At 37.6% G+C, this 5,898-nt stretch overlaps 1 long non-coding RNA gene across 1 annotated transcript; it reads right to left on the bottom strand.

Annotated features, from left to right (window-relative positions):
• Nucleotides 1-763: 763 nt before the first annotated feature.
• On the bottom strand, nucleotides 764-5,686 carry LOC105378323 (uncharacterized). Its single transcript, XR_945997.2, has 3 exons — nucleotides 5,576-5,686; nucleotides 2,027-2,065; nucleotides 764-906 (listed from the first exon to the last, which is right to left on the bottom strand). It is a non-coding gene; the product is annotated as an uncharacterized LOC105378323 (long non-coding RNA).
• Nucleotides 5,687-5,898: the final 212 nt, after the last annotated feature.

Here is a 5,898-nt window from a genome sequence, read left to right as displayed (position 1 = left end):
CATGAATCTGGGGAAATGGTCACATAAATGAACTTGAATAAAGGGCAGATAACTCAGCTCCATGGATTAAGGCCCAAGAACTAAGGCAACTAGGATCATCGGTAGCCTCCCTCCGTAAATGGTTAACTTGATTAACTCCAATGCTTCCTTTTTTCACACATCATGGTGTAGAAATAAAGCAGGAACTGGAATTAATTATGTCACAAAGCTATTGCATCTTATTTGGTGCTAGATCTCTGTTTTTTATCAAGCCATCCATTTTTTTTAATAATGAGAAGAAGCTTGTTTGTTTTAAGTTTACACAGCTTAAGAGAACATTCTAGTACAAATTAACTTAATGTGCTATGAACATATACAGAATTGAAAATGCAAATGTTCACAGGAACAAGCATGGCAAATGCAAATGAATATAATTGGTCAAAAGTACAAATGGTAGGGAGTGGTGGGAATAGTAGCAAACTGGGAGTATGTGCTTCGTCTAAAGGGCCCTTCCTACTCCAGATTTCTAACCAATATTACCTTGTAAATATGTAAACTTAGTGCTGCCACATCTCCTGATTTTTCAAGTAAAGCTTGAAATCTGGATTTTTATGTGAAATATTCTAACTTTTAAATGTTGGCAACCAATTAGACATTTTTAGACTCTCTCTATACAGATATAAATATAGTCCTGCCCCTGACACGTATACATATACATATGCACACACATTTGCAGGACAAGTCCAGCCCACAGGTCGCCACTTTTTAACCTGTGCCATAGGCAATAAATACTTACTAATTGAAGACATCAAAACTATCCTAGAATACACTGCTTCTCCCTTCAATTGAGGAATACATCAGTCCTGGTATTTTCAGACCAGCAGCTGGGATTGTCGGAATGATACAACATTGGTTTTCATCTTTGTTCTATAAAGAGAATTGGCCGCTAAGATTTATGGAAATGACTGAGAGAAGTTGCCATCAAATGTCATTTCTTCTCTGTTATACAAATACTTCATAAAGATCCCTAGTTAAGATGTCATTATAGATGAAATAGGTGTGGACTTTCACCACCTGATTAAATGTCAAATTGGAAACATTACTACCCTTCCCATACTTATGATGAATATTACTTCAAGATGATGACATTAAGTCATGCATAAAAAGTTATGCACATAATATTATGTCATTAGGATTTAATTGCAAGATGCATTACATATAAAACCCATACCTCAAATAACTAACATGGTTTTTGTTTGTGTATTTTTTCTCCGGGATGGATGACTGTCACCCTCAGGAGAAGATACCTCAAGAGCAAAGAAGAAAGCTGAGGTCAAATTTCAGAGGATTTGCAAAATTCTGGTTTTTCTATGGAAAGCTGTGTTTCTTGCATTCCTTTTCCAATTCTATACCTCACCTGTCTCCCACCCAAAGAGAAAACAAGATTCAGGGCGTTGACAAGGTATGTTCTGGTTCATTTCTTAAAGGATCAACTTTTGGACCATCTTCCCCATCCCTCTTTACTGGGAAGGTAGGAATCTTTTCCTCCCCTGCCAGTTGTACGACCCTCACCCACATCCTAGGTTCTCTGCCTGCTACAGGCATCCACTTGGCCAAGAGACTTGCCCCAGGCTAAATAATTAGATCTTTTTACCCCCATAATTGAAGTGGGATCTAAGAAACAATCTGAGCTTTTGTTTTAAATAGAGGAGATGTGAAATGGGCACCTGTGATGTGGCTACCTTCCACCAGCCTAAGAAATAGCAAAGAGTAATGCAGAGAGATGGAGCAATCCTTTGAGACAGGGAGAAAGTTCTGGGAACTGCTGTTCATGTTTCTAAATGCATTCTACTGCCTGTCAGCATTCACGCTGTTGGGCTCCTTGTGACGACTCTATACCCTTAAAACAAATACTCCTCTTCCTTTCATAAGCCAGTTCAAATCTGTTATCAAGAACTGATGAGTTCAACAGCAATTCTCTTTTGCAAACCTTATCAAGTTCAATCCAAGACATTGTATAATATAAAAACTAAACAACTTTTTTTACCTCAAAATGGCTGGCTGGAAAATGAAACTCATGGTGTCTCTTTAGAGGTGTCCATCCAAATTTAGTCAAGTTTTTATGGAGAAAGTAAGAAGAAACATGACATGATGAATCTTTCACTGAAATGGGGACCTCCTTAGGCAGAGCACAGTCCGTACAAACATAAAGCTGCCTCTTTTTCTGTTTTCTTCCAGAGAAGTGAGAGACCATAGCAAAAGTGCAGGCAGAGTGGTTGGGTCCACCTACAACTGGGTCAACTGAAACTTGCAAAACAAGGTAGTAAAGCAGGATTCATTCCATTTAAGGCCATCATTGTTACTGAGTACCAAAATCTGATGGCAAAACCTTGCTATGATTTATTCCACAGAAGAGGGTCCCTCCCTGGTTCTCTTTTCTGGGCCTCAACCCCACCCCCACCTCCACCATAGCTTTATAGTTTTACTTTTAATTTCACCCAGCTCAACTCTTAGCTTTATAATGACTTTAACTGTTCAATATTTAATGAACCAATTAATTAAATAACATTTATTATTCCGTAGGACAGTGGTTCTCATATTTTAGTGTGCAACAGAATTACCAGGGGAGCTTGTTAAGAACTCCAGGCACCCACCAACCCAGAGATTCTGATTCAGTGTGTCTGAAGTGTGGAGCAGGGATTTTATTTTTAACAGTCATTCCTGCTGCATCTGATTTTGGTGATCAGTTGACAACATTCTGGGACACACTACTCTAGAAATATAGAATTATAAGACTACATGCTCTGGAGGTGGTAATGAAAGCTGGCAAGATGTTACAAACTCCTGGTTTGTTACTAAATAGCTGTGTGTTTGGGGGCAAGTTATTAAATGCCCCAAGACTCAGTTTTCTTATCTGTAAAAAGAGAAAAATAATAATATCTAAGTCATGGGGTTGCTATGGACATTAAGTGAGATAACATAGCTAAAGTTCATATTCCAATCTGCCCTGCTTAAGAATCTTGCTAATTCTAGATGCCTCCTGCCATCAGCCAGCAGTTCAAGAGCAACGCGGGAAAAGGGTCAGGCTCTGCTAAAAGAACCATGGAAAGTTCCAGAAAAGCACATATGCATCCCAGTTTATCTGTGGACTGGGGAAGAAAGGGGCAGTAGAGTAGTGTAAGCTAAAATGGTGTAATGAGTGGGAGATGTTCACCCATAAATCACTCACCTCAGGGGATGAGAGGCAGTACTATGTGAAGGTAAACGAGGATGATCACTGCTACCAAGGTGACCCCAAGAAAATCCCTTTGGGATGAGTGACACTTTCCAACCTAAATGATCCTGTACTTGGCATCATTTGCAGTGTATATACATAGATGTTACAGTCTTATATTTAGAAAAAAATGGGTAGCTGGTGGCCGCTGACCTTCGCTGGCCCAGGGTGACCACCTTAAATCAAGAGCTTGCTATAACACAGCTGAGCTTAGCGATTTTAATGAGAAATCTAGTCCTGCTGGATTACTGTTCCTGGGACACATCTTGTCAGCAATTCCTCAGGAAATTATTCAACCATCCCCAATTGCAAAGAAACAGATGGCGTGCTGGAAAAAAAAATACTCTGAAGTGTATGCGCTGGTAAAAAGCAAATTTAAGGACACAAAGGCCAACACTGAAACAAATACTAAAAGTACTTTTTCCCTCAGAAAAATGGTCTTGCAGATATTTTTGTTTTCCCTCCCCTTTTAAACTGTGAACTGTGCCAGTCATCAGCTTGAATACGCAATGGAGAGATTTGTTTGACATTTCAGAGGCATTTAACAGAGACAGCTTTTTTTAATAATATAGAATAATACTGATCAAATGTTTTCATGGAAGATCAAGTTTTAAAATTTGTATTAATGCCCTGCTTTCTTTCTTCTAATATCCTTTAACCAAGACTCTTGGATCACACTCTATTATGCCAACTGCCCATTAAGAAATGCTGAACTATTATTAAAAATTATCATGGCACCTGAGAAAATAGCAGTGTAACCCTCATGAATATTAAATCTTTTCATAATGATCAGTGTTATTACCATGAATACTAAATGTTATGAATTCATTGCAAATTCATAATGCTTAGTGTGAACACTTGGCCTGTAACCAGAAAGTCTGAATTATATTTGGCAAATGTTTGAATCAATTTTAGTTATAAAACCAGAAAAAGAGAAATGGATAAAACTTTCGGTCTTCAGTCTCAGAGGCCAGTGGGTCTTAGGACTCTTGCAAAAGGAATGCCAGTTGCAATTTTCAAACATTTCATGTCAGTGTTTAAATCTTTTTCAGAATTCCCATTCCTATTTAATTATATCCCAGAGAAGAAGAGTTGGAGCATTATTAGGAATGAGAGACTAGCACATTCAGCTCTTAGTCTGTGACAGTACCTACATGGCATTAACTTTGAGAGTTTAATACTACAACATAGCATGGAAGTGATTATGACCCTAGAAGAAACTTGCAAAAAATAATCATGACAAAGCCTGCAGTTATTACAAACAAAGCCAATTTTTGGTCCTTACACCTCCCACTGAAGCAAGCATCAACAAGTTTTGCTCCAATAACTGAAATGCACAGCTACACAAAAACAAATATAAGGAGCGTTTGTTATGATTGACTGATCGCAAACCTTTGACCATGTGTTTTTATAATCACATGACATTCAGGCAAATAAAACTGAATGATTGATTCTCAAGACATTCCAAGAGCAGAGTAACAAACAGCGGCTCTGGCAAATGGATCTTAATGGAAATCTGATGGGAAAGTGGATCTCTCTCACGGGGGTTCCTGCTCAAAAACTGTTGGATGGTTTACAATAAACTGAAAATCTACATTTCATGAGCATCCCTTAATGGAATCCCATACAGTTATCTTTAATAAGTAGGTCTCCCCATTCATGTTGTATGATCAAAACTCATAACAGCCAGACTTTTGAGTTTGCATTCATGCAAAGGAGCTCAAATTCAAATTCTCTCCTTGAAAAATACATTTCAAAATCCATAGATATCCTAGATGTTCAGCATCCTTCAGGGGTTAAAAGCATGTACAATATAGATTTTAAGTACTATAATTTTATCTGAATTAGTTTAAGTGCCACCTGCAATTTTATTGAAAATATCCTAAAATATTCTTTAGGAATTAGAAAAGGTTTTGATTGATGGGCAGATTTAAGCATCTCATAATTTCCTAAAACATTTTCTCACAGTCCTTAGCACTAATTCTTTAAGGTGATGAGGAATAGGAGACAGATGCTAATTTTGCCTCAGGGAATTTCTATGAAGTTATAGGATGGCACTGAAACTGCAAAACAGCAGGATTTAACTAAACAGAACATCAATCAGTAAAGAACAGTATGGTGTGCCTGGAATCCATTCAGAACTTCCTCAGGGCAGATTCCAAGATATTTTTTTCCCTCTAAATTTTAAGTCTCATAAGTAATGTCTTAACATTCTTCCAGTAATTTCTTACATTATACAATCACGGCCAACCAGGTGGCTCCCACAAATTACTAAGCTAACAGTACACTAGCAGGAATTATTGGGCTCTTCAGAATAATTACCCTGCATTCTTCTTAAATTTATCCAGATTCCTTTAGCATCCTCTGAATCCCTTTGGTTTCAACAACACTTTCTCAACAGTTTCAGAAGTTCTTCAGAGTCTGAAAGTCCCAGAGTAGAAGCACAGGTAAAAATTTTTCATAAGTTCCCAGAGAATCAGGAATAACATTTCTAAGTTCAAAAATAGCAAATGTGAGGACACAAAGGCCAATGCTGACACAAATACTAAAAGTACTTTACTTATCAAGGCTAACAAACTGTGTGAAATTTTAAAGCAGTACCATGGGGAAAGAAAAATTTCAAAATCCCAGTTTACATGAATTCA

This window comes from Homo sapiens, chromosome 10, assembly GCF_000001405.40.
Source record: "Homo sapiens chromosome 10, GRCh38.p14 Primary Assembly".
NCBI lineage: Eukaryota > Metazoa > Chordata > Mammalia > Primates > Hominidae > Homo > Homo sapiens.
Note: the sequence above shows the minus strand (reverse complement) of the source record. Positions and strands in the feature narration are given on the sequence as shown.